This window comes from Homo sapiens, chromosome 1 (genome assembly GCF_000001405.40).
Source record: "Homo sapiens chromosome 1, GRCh38.p14 Primary Assembly".
Classification (NCBI taxonomy): Eukaryota; Metazoa; Chordata; class Mammalia; order Primates; family Hominidae; genus Homo; species Homo sapiens.
In genome coordinates this window covers 230,120,127-230,136,668 of record NC_000001.11, presented here as the reverse complement: position 1 = coordinate 230,136,668, position 16,542 = coordinate 230,120,127, and the positions used below count along the sequence as shown (strand labels likewise).

Genomic DNA, 16,542 nt, shown 5'->3' with positions numbered 1-16,542 from the left:
GAAGTCCTCTCTCAGACCCAGCGCTCCTGAAGGGGCGCGGCAGAGCAGAGCCGCTGCGGAGTGTGTGATCTGAAGACAACGCCTCCCTCATTAGGGCTGGACATATTCCGACAGGGCAGGCTGTGGCTCTGGATGGGGGGCAGTGAGGGGGTGCATGCATGTGCTGGAACTCACATCCGGGAGAGAAAGCGCGGCAGACAGGCCTCACGAATGAATGTGTGTTTTGAAACATTAGGTTCGATGTCTAAAGAGTACAATTCAACAACTCAGGCCACCAGGAACAGGCCCCACTCTCTCCTGGAGCTCTATGGCAGGGTTATCAGAGGATGGCTGGTGCCAGACATGTGCTGACAGGGATCTGGGACAGTCAGACCAGAAGCAAATGATCAGGCGCGACCCAATCAACGTGGCACTAAAACAATGCGTGCAGGTTCGATCATAGTTACCTGACCCACCCCCAGAAGAGTGAAAACCTAAATTTCCTCTGCTCTGTCACCCTCCAACTCCTGAGAAGATGGGAAGGAGGTGACGCTGACTAAGTGCCTCCTCTATACCCAGGAAACTCTGCTAGGGCTTACACATGCAGCTCATTCAATTCTCCTGACAACGCTCCAGAATATATCCTTTTATCCTCACTTTACAGAAGAGAAAACTAAGGATCAGAAAGAGAGCACTTGGCCAGGTACAGCAGCTCACGCCTGTAATCCTAACACTTTGGGAGGCGGAGGTGGGGAGCTCGCCTGAGACCAGGAGTTCAGGACCAGCCTGGGCAACACAGTGAGACCCCCATCTATAAAAAAAAAAAAAATGAAAAAGTTAGCCAGGCGTGGTGGTGCACACCTGTAGTCCCAGCTACTTAGGAGGGTGAAGCAAGAGGATTGCTTGAACCCAGGAGGTCGAGGCTGCCACACCACTGCACTCCAGCCTGGGTGACACAGGGAGACTGTGTCTCAAGGAAAGGGAAAGGGAAAGAGCATTCATCTGAGATCCCTCAAGTGATAAATGGCAGAGACTGAATTCAAATCCAGAGCCGAGCCTGCCAGACTGCAAAGGGCCCCCCACACTCAGCTCCACAAGGGAGCAGGAAGATGTGCATGTCATTAAGATCATTTTGTGCCTCCACCTCCCCGCCGTGTGATTTCCACACAGAAACCTGATTCGGATGGCTTCTGTGGCTCATGCCTGACAATTCACCGAAAGAAAAGTAAAAAGCACCTCAGATGAATTCAGAGTTTCTCTGTTAGCACAACGGAAATGAGATGAAGAAAGCTGGAAAATGGTTTCTCTTCTGAAACATGCATCGCAAAGTAGAATTACAAAGAGAAAATAGAGCCACAGGAATCGGCCCAAAATGAAGATTCTGTATCATTAGAGAATAAAATATGGGTATCCATGACTGTCTTCCTCTACACCCCTCGCATCCCCACCCCCGAGTCTAGGACACTGTCTCTACCATTTCTCACCCCCCATGAGAGTCAGGACCAAACACCAATTCCAGGATGCATGGCTTTTCCTGTTCCGACATCTCTGAAATGGGGAATGCATCTTAAAATTGACAAAATGATGGTGCATCTTACAACCCTTAGCACCTAAAGGCTCAAATTAATACATTAATATTGCTTTGAAATTATGTGAGGGCAATGCTTTAGATGATTTGAAACACTCTCAGATACTTCCTCTCATTTAAGCCTCACAACAGGCAGGCCAAATAGGTTTTTAGTTCACACTGATCATACTTAAATACAGCGGAGAAACTGGCTGACACAGACAACTCAGTGATTTGTCTAAGCAAGTGGTAGCACCAAGACTGGCCTTGGATTTTCTGAGCACTGGGTCCACGGGGAGGAATCCAATACTGAAGTGCAGATGACACGGGAGAGATGCTGGTGGGCTTGCCCCGATACCTCACCTGCTCGCTGCTGTATCACCCCACGCCCAGCTCCTCTCAGTCACACAGCCAAGCAGGCGAAGAGTACAACTGTGAAATGTCTCATGAGCTGATACAGAAGGAGTTTATAAATATTGAGCACTACTGGCCTTAAAAAAAGCTGCTCCTCTCCACCAGGTCTGGGTTGGATACCCTCCTCCTGGGCCCAACCCAGAATGAGGGGAGGTTTGAGAGGGATACACCACAGATAGATAGATACAGCTTCTCTGAAACCAAAGAAATAACAAATGGTTGTCTCACCTGAACAACTGGTTAGGAATTGGGGGAAGGGGATAAAACCAACTTAGAGCTGCACTTCTCAAAAATACCAAATAGGCCAGGTGCAGTGGCTCACACCTGTAATCCCAGCACTTTGGGAGGCCAAGGCGGGCGGATCATGAGGTCAGGAGATTGAGACCACCCTGGCTAACGTGGTGAAACCCCGTCTCTACTAAAAATACAAAAATTAGCTGGGCATGGTGGCATGAGCCTGTAGTCCCAGCTATTCGGGAGGCTGAGGCAGGAGAATGGCGTGAACCCGGGAGGCAGAGCTTGCAGTGAGCTGAGATTGCGCCACTGCATTCCAGCCTGGTGACAGAGTGAGACTCTGCCAAAAAAAAAAAAAAAAACAGATTCAGGTGGATGAAGAGTTAAATATCAAAATCAAGCAAACCAACCAAGTATCAGAGTAATATGTAATTAAGTATTACTTACCTGATCTCTGGTTGAGACAAGCATTTCTAAGCTTAAAAGAAATGGAGGAAACCAGAAAGCAAAAGGATGAGAATTTAACTACATAAAGTTAAGTCTCCTCTCTATTTAAAAAAAAGGAAAAGTGTGGGGAAAATATTACCTAAAAATAGACAAAGGGTTGCAATTTGTAATATTTATTAAACAGCTAACACAAAGTATGAGAAAAGCAGGCTACGGGATCAGGTAACACATGAGACACTTTTCAGTTCAAGGGAACTAAAGAAATCAAAATTAAGGCCAGGTGTGGCGCTAATGCCTGTAATCCCAGCACTTTAGGAGGCCAAGACAGGCGGATCACCTGAGGTCAGGAGTTCGAGACCAGCCTGGCCAACATGGAGAAACCTCATCTCTACCAAAAACACAAAAAATTAGCTGGGCGCGGTGGCGGGCGCCTATAATCCCAGCTAATCTGGAGGCTGAGGCAGGAGAATTGCTTGAACCCGGGAGGTGGAGGTTGCAGTGAGCTGAGATCATGCCACTGCACTCCAGCCTCCAGCCTGGTCGACAGAGTGAGACTCTGTCTCAAAAAAAAAAAAAAAGAAAAAAGAAATCGAAACAGAAACGTCAACTACCACCTAGGCAATAAACAAAGATTTTATTTGCAAATATTAACGATGTGGCAAAGGTACAAAAGAGTCTTCTGGTCTGAGTGTAAACTTGTACAACCTTTCTGGAAAAGAGCTGAGAACATCTATCAAAAGCCTTAAAAATGTTCAAACTCTCTGACCCGGTAATTCCACTTTTAGAAATCTATTCCAAGGACATAGTAAAGAATGTATTGCAAAGGTTTACATAAAAAGGTTCATCATAAGTTACAAAACCAAACTAGCTAGGTAGATTGGACATATCCATACAATGTTAATAAAAGCTTTTTAGATCATGTAAAAATACAATATAGTGTTAAAACTTTCAAGGCAGGGAAAAAAACCAAACTGCAACACATTGTTACCACGAGTATATTAAAAAACCAAACAGAATAAAGCCTAGAAGGCACCGTGGTGGGGATGCTTACGCGGCATGAATTATGTGTTCCTTCTTCCTGCTTCCTTATGCTAGGCTGTATTTTTATAATTAATATGCATCAGTTCTATAATAGGGTGGAGGATGACAGAGGAAGAATGTTACCCTCTCATCCCACGCTCAAGAAACACAATTCCAGGGCAAAAGGAACACAGCACAATAGACACTCGGATATTCTTACAGGAATTCAGAAAGAAGAGAAACAACTAATATAGCAGTCCTTTATTTTGCAACAAAATAGTCACATTTTTTTAAATGGCTGTTTTAATTCTTTCAACCACTGGTTTGTACCTGCTTCAAGAAATGCACAGATCACCTTTTCCATTTATGTACCACTATCTTCCACCTCTTCCCAAGCAAGTTCCAAGACAGTCTGCATGTCACCTCTCTAGTACAGTCCCTTCCTCATGGCTCCCAATCTCACATTCTCAGCAAGGCCTGGCCCTGCAGGAAAACCAAAGGAAGAGACAGACCCAACTAGAGGGGGTGCAGGACTCAGCCTCTGCGGGCTTTCACAGGGTTCAAGGAGCTGTGATGGAAGGCAGCCTCATCCCACTGTGACGCTCCCAGTATCAGCTGGAGAGATGGCCACCAAGCCCCTGGACAGAAAAGGAGTCTGGTGTGTTCTTCCCTTAGGAAATCTGGGTGATTTAACAGTTCTCAGGCTGGACGTCCTGGTCTCCCCTACCCCTATCTATTTCGGGGCAGTGAAAACCAAATCAGAAGAGAGTTACTCCCAGGACCCTGTTGCTGACCGCCACAGTTACTACTGTTACTGCTACTTGAGACCGTCATTACGAGACTGATTGAAGGGATGAATGTAGAAATAACAAAAAACAAAAGTAACTATTTTAAGGGAAGGCTAGCATGGGGAAGAAGAGAGAAGAAGAAGAGGAAAAAGGCACCCTGCTTCTAGTGAGCAAAGGCAGCCCCCCTAAGCTTCTACAGCCCTTCCTATTTATTGGGTAACAAGAGCAGGAAGGAGGTAACGATTGGTCAGCTGCTTAATTGATCACAGGTTCATACTGTTACTAACAGGCTTCAATGATGCCTAATCATAAGAAACACTTGCGTCTGGGTCATAACTGCCCTCAGCATCACTTCTGGGTGGCAGACGCAGTTTGTCAGTTTGCCAACATTCTGCATTTATGAGAAACAGTTCGCTGCTTACTTACATAGCCTCCAGTGGTATACTGAGTTGATCACGACCCTCACTCTTCGGCCTCCAACAGGACCCCATACCTGGACCAGCCAAGCCCCTGCCTTATCTCTCCAGGGCTTGTTACCAAACCGAACTTCGGTCTACTTGGCTGGTGCAGCGGAGCTAAACGCTGACATCAGGATAGCAGCGAGACAGTGCGAGGTTTAAATTGCAGGGTGCCAAGCAAGGAGAATTGGGTGGCTAGTGCTTAAGACCTAACTCCCAGATGGCTTACAGGTAAGGGTTTTTAAAGGCGGGGAGGCAGAGGTTACAGGCAAAGTCATAAATCAATACATGAAAGCTCTGCATGGGATTGACCTAGAAAGGTGGGATGTCTCAAAGCAGGGCCCACAGGTCAAAGGTGGATTCAAAGGTTTTTTGATTTGCTATTGGTTAAGGAAGCAAAGCTTTGTCTAGGAATTTGGGATCAGCAGAAATGAATGTTAGCATCTGGCCTGTGGAAGTGTCTTCCTCCAGGCCTCTCAGAAAGAAATTAAAACTGGCGGTCAGAGTTGTGTCCTCAGTTTTCTGTTACCCGAGGTCTATGTGCTGCAGACAGCATTTATTATTTGGTGGGGGTCCAGGTTTCTAAAAAACGACTCAGGGACATATGTTAAGGTATTTAATTTTTATAAAAAAAAAACAAACGTTTTGTGCCTAGCTTTTTAGATACTGTTTTAAGCTATCTTGTTTATTAGGTTGTTGATTTCTTTCTCAAGGCTAGCGAGATGCCTAGTTTTTTTAATACTTAAATTTTTAAAATTTTTATGTTGGAGGGTGCCTGACAGGCTCCTAAGAGGGGTTCCTACCCTGTCTCAGGCTCAGCCTCCACCTTTCTGCTCCCATGAGACGCAGGGCAGTCACGGGTGTGGGCCAGCCCTCCCAGTGCTTTCCCATTTAAGCCCCCACCCGCCCACTCAGCTTTCATCCCGACCCAGTTTGCAGCTTCGCTGGTGTCCCATAAACTCATTAAAGTGGTTTAGCCATGGTCAGCCAAGCTTGACTGAACATACAGGAGCTGTCGCCGAGACTTCCAAACCTGCTGGAGTGTAAATTCCAGACTCTTGATCAGCAGAAATCCCACTTTGGGCACAGCCGGGCAGCAGCTCCGGGCTGCTTGTCCTTCTGCTCCTGCATGGGAGCATCCTACTTAGGGGAGACACAGGGGTCGGTCCCCAGGGCCCGGTGTTCCTGATACCACGTGACTCACGCTGGCTGACTCCCTAGTAAACCCCAAACTGCCTCTGTATCAAACTGGTGTTCCTTGAAGCACCTCATCCAACAGTGGGGGTAAACACCAGGCTCCCAAACCCTTCACAACCGGCTGAGCACAGGGAGTCCTTAACATCAGCCAGTGCCCAGCAGTGTCCAGAAACGAGCATCTAGTGAGTGCTTTCTAAGTGCCAGACCCCATGCTAAGTGCTTCTCCCAAGCCACTCGGTGGCTATTATGAGCTAAGGTATCATGAGGCCTGGCTGCGGCAGCGCTGTGGGTAGGTGAAGAAATCCCTCAAAATCTTATCATGTGAGGCAATTAGAGAGGTTTAGCTTACAGAAGAAAGATATGGATGGTAGTAGAAGGCGGGATGAGAAAGGTCTTCAAATAGCAGAGAGATTTTCATGTGCAAGAGGTATTAGGACTACAAAGTTCCACAGTGATGGGCATCAGCTCACTCAAAGCTTCAGAGACAAGAGAGGACTGCAGGGATGGTAGACTTGGGCTCCACGTTCTACAAGTAAGAACATGGAGGTCATGCAGATCTCAAGGCAGTAATCCTGCAATTGTGCCCGTTCAGCGTACTTCAGCAGACGGGTGATGCCTGTCCACAGGAAGCTGCAGAAGCAATGCCTGCTCTGCGGAGCCAGGAGCTTGGCCTGGGGACAACCTGTGGTCCTTTCAGATCCAATGCACTGATGCTGAGTGACTAACAGAACTCAGCAGCCTTTTCAGTGTCAGGTCAACCAGTCACAGCAGAAGGACACTCGGCCAACCCCCAGCAGCATGCAGAATACCCATGAACAAACCTGCACATGCACCCTGAGTCTAAAACGAAAGCTGAACTTTTATTTTTAAGTGACAGAATTTTGGGGGGAAAAAAAGTAAGGACCCTTGGGTGTATTGTTTCCTCTTGAAAGAGTTAAATTTGTGAGCCAGGTGCAGTGGTTCACTTCTATAACACCAGGACTTTGGTAGGCCGAGAGGGGAAGATCACTTGAGGTCAGAAGCTCAAGACCAGCCTGGGCAATACAGCAAGACCCCATCTTTACAAAAAAAATTAAAAAGTTAGCCAGACATGGTGGCAAACACCTATAGTCACAGCTACTTAGGAGGCTGAGGAGGGAGGATCACTTGAGCCCAGGAGTTTGAAGCCTCAGGGTGCTACGATCACGCCTCTGCATTCTAGCCTGGGTGACAGAGCAAGATCTCATCTCTAAAAAATAAAATAGTAAGAGTTAAATTTGTGGATTTTCTACCCCACTAACAAACAGGTTATAGGACAGGAAAGAAAAAAGTCTAAAGAAACAGAAAAATTCGCAGCATATCTGCAGTCAGAATTTGGCTTTGAATCCTGGCAACACAATCTATTTTGAGCAAGAGACAAGTTTTGCTAATTCCTAATGAGCCAGATTAGAAACAGACTACAAACGAACAGCAAACTCATCATAAAATTATGAGAGAGCCCGAAATACACCGAATGACTGATGCGTCGCTAGCGGCGGCATTTGGCCACTGAGTAAAAGCAGGGTGTGTGCTTCACAAGTGTCGCGGGGGCTTCAGGAAGAAGGAGCTGGTGGAAGTATTGCTGATAATCCAGAAAATCCTCTCCACTGACTCAAACATCCACAAAGTGCCAGGCTGAGCTGCTCTCAACAGTGCTGAGGCATGAGATGTCCCCGAACCAGAAAGCGCAGGTGCCCTGGATGGGGCTCGGGGCACCCCACATATAGGAAGATGGGGGCTTAGGAAGGCTGTCCTGAGCTGATGCTCTGGCAGAAAGAGGAACTTCCAAGAGAAGAGGAGACTGGAGCAAGGAAGGCCCTGAAGACAGATGCCTCCCAGCCAACACTCAGGCTCTTGTGACACTCAGGAGAGACTAGCTTGGGGGAAAAAAGGAAAGCCTACCTCCCCCCAACCACCCCCGCCCCCGCCACACACACACCCTTATGAAAGTCCCTTCTCTAAGATCATTCCTGTTTTACTTTCTCCCTTACCTCCCTATCCAAAAGCCAGCAACTCCAGAGGCAACCCAGAAGCCAGTGGCTCCATCCCTGGTGCACAAGACCCAAGTGGCCCACTGAATTTAATAAGCAGCCATGCAGACGCTGGGCTCTGTGGCCTCCACAGAACAGAGCTTCGGGGAAGAGGCAGAGCCCCCCAAAACTCCAAGTGGCTGACGGCTTCAGGGCCACAAAATCCATATAACATCGGAGAACACACGCCTGCCCTTGTACACACCACGACAAGCGAAGGTCCTGTTTTCCTTCATAACCACACACACACACACACACATTCTCCAGCGCACTTGCATTTAGAAGTACCTGCACATGGTGAGTGCGATGTGACAGAGAGGCTATGCTATAGGACAGATGGCCCCAGATGGCCAGAAGAGTACTAAGAGGCCTTCTGGGGGCCTGACCATCCCTGGCCTCATGGGTATTGGTAAGGATTCAGACACCCTTCCTGCAGCCACCCAGCTGGTGATGAGAAACTCTAGAGAAGGAAAGAAAAGCTGCATTTGGGACAAATCATCCCATTCAGTCTGTGCCTGCATCCCCCACACAGCCCTTGGGGGCCGCTGGGATAGATGGCTCCTCAGAGGGCACCAAGGGCCACAGCGGCTGGCTTCACAGGGAGGACTGAGGGGAGGTTCCGTCTTGGCCTGTAAGACATCCCATCTTACATGCCACGTCAGCAATACCGTGGTAATGAGGAATGAGTTACAGTGCAACAATTCACACCTCAAAAGAGTTCACGCACCCAGGAGTGTTCTGATGAACTGAGCACGGGAGCGTATCACTGAGGAGGATTACAGCAACCACCACCGCGAGGGGCTCACATAGATCCAGCTCTTTAAAATTAAAAAAAAAAACCCTCGGCCGGCACAGTGGCTCACATCTGTAATCCCAACATTTTGGGAGGCCGAGGTGGGTGGATCACGAGGTCAAGAGATCGAAACCATCCTGGCTAACATGGTGAAACCCTGCCTCTACGAAAAATACAAAAATTAGCTGCGCATGGTGCCGCATGCCTGTAGTCCCAGCTGCTTGGGAGGCTGAGGCAGGAGAATCACTTGAACCCAGGAGGCGGAGGTTGCAGTGAGGCAAGATTGCGCCACTGCACTCCTGCCTGGTGAGAGTGCGATACTCCAACTCAAAAAAAAAAATCTATTCATAATGAATTTGAAATCAAACTACACTATTAAGAGAGTCTTCCACAGGGATGAAGGGGGAGGTGTCAGTTTATCACACAGCACCAGCTCAGGCGGGGCTCACAGCATTAAGAGAGTCTTCCACAGAGAAGAAGGGGGAGGTGTCAGTTTATCACACAGCACCAGCGCAGGCGGGGCTCACAGCAGGATTTAGGGTTGCTGCAAAGTCACTGTTTCCGAGTAAAGTAGGGTGTGTGGGTCACATGCCCCTGCCTCAGGCAGCAATGGGAGGGGGGGACGTTTGTTTAATGGGTTTTCCCCAGGTGCTAAAAGCAGTGCAAAATATTAACATCTATCCAAAAAAGAGGGGAGACGCTCCCCCCACCTCCATTCACCCACTACCAGGAAGAGGAAACCGCCAGACTGAGCAATTAGGTTGCAATTTTACAGGAATGGTTTAGGTCTGAAAACAAATGTCAGCCCCATAAATCCTTTTCTCCTCACTCCAAATCCTGAAGGGGACTATCGTCCTGGCCACTGCTGAACCTGCGCTGGGTGCAGTCACTCCTTGGCGTGCCTCAGTCTCTCCTCAGCAAAGTGTGCACGTGGGGTTATACGGGCTGGAACACTCTTACCCACCAAAATCTATGACCTCCAATGAGAAACTCCCACCATCCCTTTGTACAACTTTAGATTTTGTCAACATTGACATTTCCCATAGATGCGATATTACAATCCCATGCACACACTTTTCCGAGGAGAGACTGAGGTACGTGAGTGAGGCTGCCTGCGGGAGGATGGCCTTCTGAACCACTCTCATTCCCGCTCATGTTTCTACCCGCGAGGCAGGATGGAGGCGGGGGCCTCTCTTCCCACACCCCAAACCCTCTCGAGGCATCGGCATCCGTTAGTCCTCAACTGCAACCCCCTTATGATATAAGACAAAGGTCACTCTGTTCCCTGGTCTCCAGGTCTCAAGAATCCAGGCTTGCAACCTTCCATCCCTCCCTCTCAGAGCACCCCAGCGGGCCCCAAAAAGTGCATGGCTGCCCTCTCTCAGCTATACTCATCACCAGGCCCTTTCCACATTCTGCAGAGGGGTGCCTGCCCCCGCCGAACTGGCCCTGCCTGTGTCTCCACTCTGGGTGTTCCTACAGCCCTCTCCTAGCACAGCAACCCCACACTCCTGCTCTGGGAAGTTCCCATCACCATCTCCACAGCTCTGCTGGGGTTGCCCCCACACCCCTGCCCCCACACACTCATCTAGGGAACCTCATCATTCTTCAAGTGTGGCTCAGGGTTTCTGTTCCAAAAGGCCTCCCTGCTCCTCGCTCCTCTTTGGCTGTAGCCCACACACCGTCCTCTGAACTCTGGCCTCCCCATGCTTGAAGGGTCACTACCTGTCTGTGTGCTGCCTCCACCCAACCTCTGAGCACTGGGTGGGGAGCCACCTTCCTTCGTATATTCACATGGAATGAAGAGAGGAAAAGAAAGACAGGAGAGAGACATTGAAACTCTGCCAATAATCCTTTCTAGGAGTGGCACACATTCCAATCCTGGAGAAATGATGACATGAGGCATGGCAAGAGAGTTTTAAGAGAGTTCAGCTTTTCACTTAAACAGAGTACTGGGATGTCACTGTTGGAAAGTGCTCACAATTTCTCATCTAAGCCGAAGTTGTCTGTTCTCCTTCCTACCTTAACAGTTTCTCACTGCCTGAAGGCAGCTGCCAAAACCCCTCTAAGCAAGCAGCACTCTTACCCACCAAAATCTATGACCTCTGATGAGAAACTCCCACTATCCCTTTGTACAACTTCAGATTTTGTCAGCATTATTGACGAAATCCCACAGATACGATATTACAAGATACAAAATTTAAGACACGATCTTGGCTGAAAGACTCACGATCCAAACGCAGTAAACCTTTCATCTCTCCTTATTCACTCTGCCTTTAATTTAAAATATGTGACGCTGTCAAACACCAGCCAGGCCTCGCTACACTCCTGAGGGAGGGGTCGCTAGGAAACTGCAGAATTTGAGAAACACAGGGACATTCTAACCAGCTATTCCTTCTTTCTCCCCACAGCCCCCTCCCTTCTCTGGCCTGTACAACTTCCTTAGTCCCATCTCTGTTACTCTGATTGTGGGAAAGGGATCCTGCACTCTAATTGTGTGATGGGTTATTGCATCTTCATTTATGAATTCTCTAATCTGGTATTCACTTTCAAACACTTGGCCCTCTTTGGCAGCCAACAATGCATAACCAGGCTTGGGAAGCCTTCACATTTGACAAGAATAGAGAACAACCGCTTAGCGGAGACCAGGTTACACGTCAAATGGACTCTTTCCAGCTTCATCAACAAATAAAGCAAAATCTGAGTGCAGGGCTGAGTGTAGGCTGTTTGGTGGAAGAGAACAACACTCTTGAAAACAGCCAGCGGTGCAGACACCAGGGTGTGCTCCTCCAGTGTTTGGAGGGCTGATTAGTGCACAGTAACCACAGGGCCACAATCCTGAGTTACTAACCACATAGCTGGGTTCTCAGAGAGAAAGACCACATTCCCAGACAGGCCACACCACCCTAGTCTGCCATGGGGGTAATGCAGGTGGGACCATCACGGCAGGTCCCACCCGTCCCCATGACTCCATTTTGGTTGCTGAATTCATGAGAAGGACTCAGGCCAAAAGAAGGTGGGAGGTTCCAAGACTGTGGCTTTTATTTCTCCAAGGATCTGCAAAACTTCAGATTGTTCAGGAACAGCAGGAAAATGTACTGCCTTGGTTCCAAATCACTCCAATGAGAAGTGCTGCCTGCCTCCTCCAAATACCTGGAGCCAGGGAATTACTCCCATTAGGCCCCACCATAGTTATTTCTGGACATGATGCAACCTGAGAGATTTTTTCATGCCACAGGTAGATTTAGGGAGAACTCAATTATATTTTCCTTGCTTTTTAGTAACATTAACACGCCACTGGTGACAAGGGGACATTCCAGCTTGCCACAAGTCCAGTACGACCACAGATCAGGTCAGAAGGGCTCTTGCGGGTGATAGACAGCTCTTGCAGCAATGTTTTGCAACACACCAGCACACAACATGCTTAAGAATTGGTGTCTCTCCCTCTGCTGTCTCCATGTCTACATCAAAATTAAAGAGAAGAAAATAATAAAATTAACCCCCAGAAAGTACCTATCAGTACTTGCACTTAATTCATTTCCACCTAAATCCAGGCCGGGTAATATTCTTGACATTGTATAGATCTAATGACAATGTCTTTACTTCTTTTTAAAGTTGAGCCAGGCACGTGACTGGTTTAAAGGCCACTTAGTCCAAAGGACAGGGAGTCATATCTTCAGGTCATCCTCACGTCACTATCCACATGCTTTCATTAAGTGGTCAAAGCTGTACGTTTGAAGCTACAGAGTTCACCAAATAAACAGAATGACTAAGAAACCAAAACCAGGTGTTTTCACATTTTTAGAGTCCCCTGACAGTGTGGTTCGGGGGTTTGGTTTCTGTATCACATCTGCTAAGTGTGCAGGTCATTTTCAAAACCACGCATGCTGAGAGACTAGCAAACAAAGGCAATGATCATGAGGTTAAAGTAGACAAAAGAAGGCAATTAAAACATTTCCACTACCCATCATATAGGAGAAGAACATAAGTACACCTGTTGCCTTCTAAATAAAATATATATTTTTCCTTTCCATAATCGTAGAAAGTAAAAAAGACTTAAGAAATGAAGTCAAGGTCTATTTCCACAAAGGCTCAAGCAAGACAATACCAAATGGGTACAAAATGAAAGACAACTGAAAATCAAAGGTGGAGTCGGCTCTCAGAGGTCTCCAAAGCTCGGTGTCTAAACTTAGCTGTGCGGGCAACACACACACAGACATACACAACCAGTATACGTCAGTTATTTTCGAACCCTGGAACTCACACAAAGACATGACCAACCTGCATGTGCCCCTCTTCAAAGTAGTCCCCTGGGGAGACCCTTGGTATTCCCATGATGCTGTCATCATTCAAAATATTTCTGGAACTCCCCTAACGGGTTGGCCCCCAGAGACAACAGCATAATGTTCATCCTCTAAAGCACATTTGTTTTTTGGAAACAGCTAACAACCACTTGGAGCCAAGCGTCACGAATAAGGCAGGTGATCAAGCTTGGAAATTTTGTTCTTGGTCAGAAACTCACAGTGGGCACCAAATGGCAAGTATAATTTCTCCTAAGGCTCATAGACTAGCTGTGACCACGATGCCAAAAGCAGAGGTTCAACAATGTTCTGAACGCTGAAAATAAGTGTGAAGTCTCCTAAACAGCATGCTTGAAACTCGCCACTTTGAATACACTTGTTCTGATTAGACTATTACAACCAGCCTTGTGTCTTTATAACAATGTCTTGATAAATCACTACTGCACATCCCCAACTCAATGTAGCCCCAAGCAAGTTATTAATAACAAGGGGATGCGGGACACTTCAACTGCCAATCAAGAGACGACAGGCCACAACCCTGCACAGAGATGTCTGCATTCCACAGGCAGATGTCAACGCCCAGGAGTACGTGCAGACATAAATATGCACTATACGCGTGTGCAGAGATCTATATATACACCACAGATTCACAGCTCATCCCAAATCATCCTTAGTGGGCTTATCCTAAATATAGATAATAAATTCATGTTAATAATAGCTGAGACCTTTAAAATGCTCTGAAGGAAAACACACACACACGGATGAACACACACACACACGTATGTACATGCACACACACACACACACAGAGCCACCCTTATGCATTCCTGCACGCTGATCCACTGTGGTTTTCTGGTTTCCTTATCCCTGGGGGGAAAATTTTGTCAAAAAGATACACCCAAGAAATGTAAGCTAAACACTGACAGAGGCCTTCCCTGGAACACTTGTCCCAACATGCTATGATTTGAAAAGATGAGGGGGTCACTGAGAGACCAGGTCGAGGGAGAGAGAGGAGCAGCGGAGCAGCCACTGATTTGGAGGCCTCAGGGCTTGGGATTTATTTAACAGATTTTCTGAACCTCAATCTCATGGAGAATGAATTCTTTCAAGGGAAAGCGATATCTTTTCTTTTCTAACCAACTACAAAAGAACTGGTCCACTAGCCAAATATAATCAAGTTTGGTTTGGTTATATAGTTTGCCAAATATAACCAAGGAAAGCACCAGCTGTCTGTCTACCCATGCTTGCGGGGCAAAGGTTTATGAGGAAAATGGCATTATCCCAGTTCCTGGCAAACAACCTGTTCATAATGTACAGCACCGCTCAGGAGGAAGGGTGAACACTGGATTCAAATTCTAAACCCACAGTCCCAGCTAGTCGGGAGGCTGAGGCTTGAATGGTTGAGCCCAAGAGTTCAAGGCTAGCCTGGGCAACAGAGTAAGACCCTGTCCCTTGAAAAAAAAAAAAAAAAAAAGCATAACAGTATTTAAATAAACTACAAAGGGAAATATAAATTTATATATCAAAAAATAAACGTTATAAGATAAATAAATACATTCTAAATCCCTCCTCCCCTCTTCTAGCTGTGTGACCTCGAGCAAGTTACTGATGCTCCCAATGTCCCAATGTCCCCTTTTTGGGATCTATGCAAAGTGGGGTATGCAAAAGCACTCATCCTCCTGGGGCTGCTGAAGGGACTGACTCCGTGGGCATGGAAAGTTCCCAGCACAGTCCCTGAGTTACAGTCAGCTATTATTGCTTATGATGATGGCAACCTACTAAAGGCAGACACTGATGTTCTCCTCGGCAAAAACAAAGCCTTGTGAAATGGACATCCGCCTAATTCTCCCCTCAAACCTTGCCTTGAGTATTCTGGAATGGTGGTAGGGTTCTCCTCCTCAAAGAAGTAACCCATCAGAAACCTGGCAGGGACAAAGAAGAGGGGAGTGAGGGAATGCAACCAGGATGGAGACAGAAACAAAAAGAGAAGGGAAAAATCAAGAAGGCAAACAGGGGAGGGCAGGAAAGCCAACAGAGTTGTCTGTTCACGCACAAAAGCCTGCTGGTGCTTCCTCCAGTGCAGGGAGCCTGCCCCACCGCCCGCCACGGGACTAAGACAGCGCCTCCTCAGGTGTGGTCCAGGGACCCATACAAAGCCTTCACAACCCCACAGGCATGTGCCAGCACACAGCAGGCAGGTGCAGCACCATGGCTCTTGCAGAAAAGAGGAAAGAGCTGGAAGTGACCTCCAGATCCCAGGGAATGTCAACAAGGAAGTGGCTCTATGCCATTTGGACACTGGCTGGAGATCATTGCGTTAAACATCCTCCCTTCAGAGGAGCATCAGGAAAGGGTACGTGGCCAGCAGGATGCAGTACCAGGGAGAACCACTTGGTGCGTACCATTCTAAGACATGTTTTCAATAAATCCGGAGAAAGATTAGGAGTCCTAAACCACAGTTAACCAATTTCTGGCCTAGTGTTTACATCAAAGTTTGCATATAAGCCACTCAGCCTATCAAAATATTAAGGAAGTCACTGGGAATTTTATTTTATCCAAGGGGTGGAAGCAGTGCCAACATGATCTAGCCTGAGATTCAGCTGTGTCTGGCCATGTGTGACGACCTGGGGCCACAGTCACTGGAAAGAAGATACCGGCAGGGCATTTAGTGTGTGCGGAGGAGGATGAGGGAAGTTTTCTCTCCCAAGCAGCCTGGGGAGAGGCCGAGGAGAAAGGAATGCTGTTGTTTGGGTGACCAGCCCTGGGGAGCTGTGCGTCCCTGAGTCCTGCGGAAGGAAGGGCAGATCGGAGCTGAGCAGCCATTTTCATGACTGATCTGCTGCTTCGTGTCCAGCTGGCACAGGCGACACTGGAGGGGAGAGGCCCGGGACTCCACTTAGACATGGAACACAGTGTTCCCCAAAGCCGACTCCAGGGATGTGTGGAGGTACCAAGAGGGTTTGTAGTTTGGCAGGTTTGAGAGGCAACACCCTTGGCGGGGACTGCCCTCTTCTCGGGAAGAGCCCTGGAGATGGCTGACATGGGAGCAGATGACATCCACAAGGCAGGCATCCAAGGGCATCCAAGGGCTGTTCCTGATAGGCACGTCCTGGACCCCTGGAACTGAATGGGTGGAACTTTGAGAAAAGACAGGGCAAGCTGGTTAACACTGTTACTATGTAACCTTACAACACCAGCTGCTGAGGCCTGGAGAATCCCAGGTGTAGCCTTTAACACCGCCCACTCACCCCCACCCCCACCCCCAACGCATGCAAGAGGCTAGTGAGGACTGCAGT

The 16,542-nt window shown here is 47.8% G+C and overlaps 1 protein-coding gene across 3 annotated transcripts in view, besides 5 other annotated features; it reads right to left on the bottom strand.

Moving 5' to 3' along the window:
* GALNT2 (polypeptide N-acetylgalactosaminyltransferase 2) overlaps window positions 1–16,542 on the bottom strand; it is a 224,334-nt gene that overhangs the window by 145,454 nt on the left and 62,338 nt on the right. The gene's annotated exons all lie outside the window — the stretch shown is intronic.
* Window positions 9,373–9,667: an enhancer, noted in NCBI's record as "tiled region #1224; K562 Activating non-DNase unmatched - State 1:Tss". NCBI's record gives its function as "activates a minimal TATA promoter and a strong SV40 promoter by Sharpr-MPRA in K562 cells {active_cell/tissue: K562}" and the evidence as "EXISTENCE:reporter gene assay evidence [ECO:0000049][PMID:27701403]".
* Window positions 9,415–9,494: a silencer, noted in NCBI's record as "silent region_1938". NCBI's record gives its function as "represses an Ori minimal core promoter by ATAC-STARR-seq in GM12878 lymphoblastoid cells {active_cell/tissue: GM12878}" and the evidence as "EXISTENCE:reporter gene assay evidence [ECO:0000049][PMID:35858748]".
* Window positions 12,153–12,447: a silencer, noted in NCBI's record as "tiled region #12256; K562 Repressive DNase matched - State 5:Enh". NCBI's record gives its function as "represses a minimal TATA promoter and a strong SV40 promoter by Sharpr-MPRA in K562 cells {active_cell/tissue: K562}" and the evidence as "EXISTENCE:reporter gene assay evidence [ECO:0000049][PMID:27701403]".
* Window positions 13,189–13,398: an enhancer, noted in NCBI's record as "active region_2715". NCBI's record gives its function as "activates an Ori minimal core promoter by ATAC-STARR-seq in GM12878 lymphoblastoid cells {active_cell/tissue: GM12878}" and the evidence as "EXISTENCE:reporter gene assay evidence [ECO:0000049][PMID:35858748]".
* Window positions 13,409–13,538: an enhancer, noted in NCBI's record as "active region_2714". NCBI's record gives its function as "activates an Ori minimal core promoter by ATAC-STARR-seq in GM12878 lymphoblastoid cells {active_cell/tissue: GM12878}" and the evidence as "EXISTENCE:reporter gene assay evidence [ECO:0000049][PMID:35858748]".